The sequence below is a fragment of the Homo sapiens genome, chromosome 1, assembly GCF_000001405.40.
Source record: "Homo sapiens chromosome 1, GRCh38.p14 Primary Assembly".
NCBI lineage: Eukaryota > Metazoa > Chordata > Mammalia > Primates > Hominidae > Homo > Homo sapiens.
The window spans coordinates 168,224,378-168,225,670 of record NC_000001.11 but is presented as its reverse complement, the minus strand read 5'-3'; positions in this window follow the sequence as shown (position 1 = coordinate 168,225,670).

The following is a 1,293-nucleotide window of genomic DNA, read 5'->3' as shown; positions in this document are numbered from 1 at the left end:
GTTCATCCATATTGCGATCGTGCCTACACAGGAAAAGATTTTCTTTTTAATCACTCAAGGCCTTAGTCTGGTGTGGTGGGGCGTGCCTGGAAGCCCAGCTACTCCGGAGGCTGAGGCAGGAGGCTCACTTGAGCCAAGGAGTTCCAGGCTGTAATGAGCTATGACCAGGATACTGCACTCCAGCATGGGCAACAGAGCGAGACTCTGTCTCAAAAAAAAAAAAAAAAAAAGTGACTGAAGGAATGTTGAAAGGAATAATAGATTGTTAAATTGTTTTGTGTTTGTACAATTGTTTTTTTTTCTGACCTTAAAAAAACTAAAAGTAGACTGGGCATGGTGGCTCATGTCTGTATTCCCAGCACTTTGGGAAGATGGCTTGAGCCCGGGAGTTCCAGACCAGCCTGGGCAACATAGGGAGACCTCATCTCTTCAAAACATTCTTAAAAATTAGCCAGGCATGCTGGCGGGCATCTGTAATCCAAGCTACTTGCGAGGCTGAGGAGGAAGAATGGCTTGGACTCAGGAGGTCAAGGCTGCAGTAAGCCATGATTGTCAGTACAGTAAGCCACTGCACTCTAGCTTGGGCAACAGAGTGGAAACAATACAAATGGCCACCAACTGATTAATGGTAAATAAAATGTGACATACCCATGCAATAAAAAAGAATGGAGTACTGACACATGCTACAACGTGGATGAACCTCGAAAACATTGTATTAAGTGAAAGAAGTGTGGAGCCCGAAAATTTGAGACAGGTCTCAGTTAACCAGGAAGTTTATTTTGCCAAGGTTGAGGAACAGCACCTGTGACACAGACTCAGGAAGTCCTGACGACATGTGCCCAAGGTCGTTGGGGCATAGCTTGGTGTTATACATTTTAGGGAGACATGAGGCATCCGTCAATATGTGTAAGAAGTACATTGGTTGTGTTTGGAAAGGCGGGACAACTCGAAGCAAAGGCAGGAAGACTCAAGGGGGGAGGGGGCTTCCAAGTCACAGATAGGTGAGAGACAAATGGTTGCACTCCTTTGAGTTTTTGATTAGCCTTTCCAAAGGAGGCAATCAGATGTGCATTTATCTCAGTGAACACAGTGATAACTTTGAATAGAATGAGAGGCAGATTTGTTCTAAGCAGTTCCCAGCTTGAATTTTCCCTTTAGTAATTTGGGGGGGCCCAAGATATTTCCCTTTCACAGAAGCTAGACACAATAGACCATATATTGTATGATTTCATTTATAGGAAATGTCCAGAATAGGCAAACCCATAGAAACAGAAAGTAGACTAATGGTTGCCT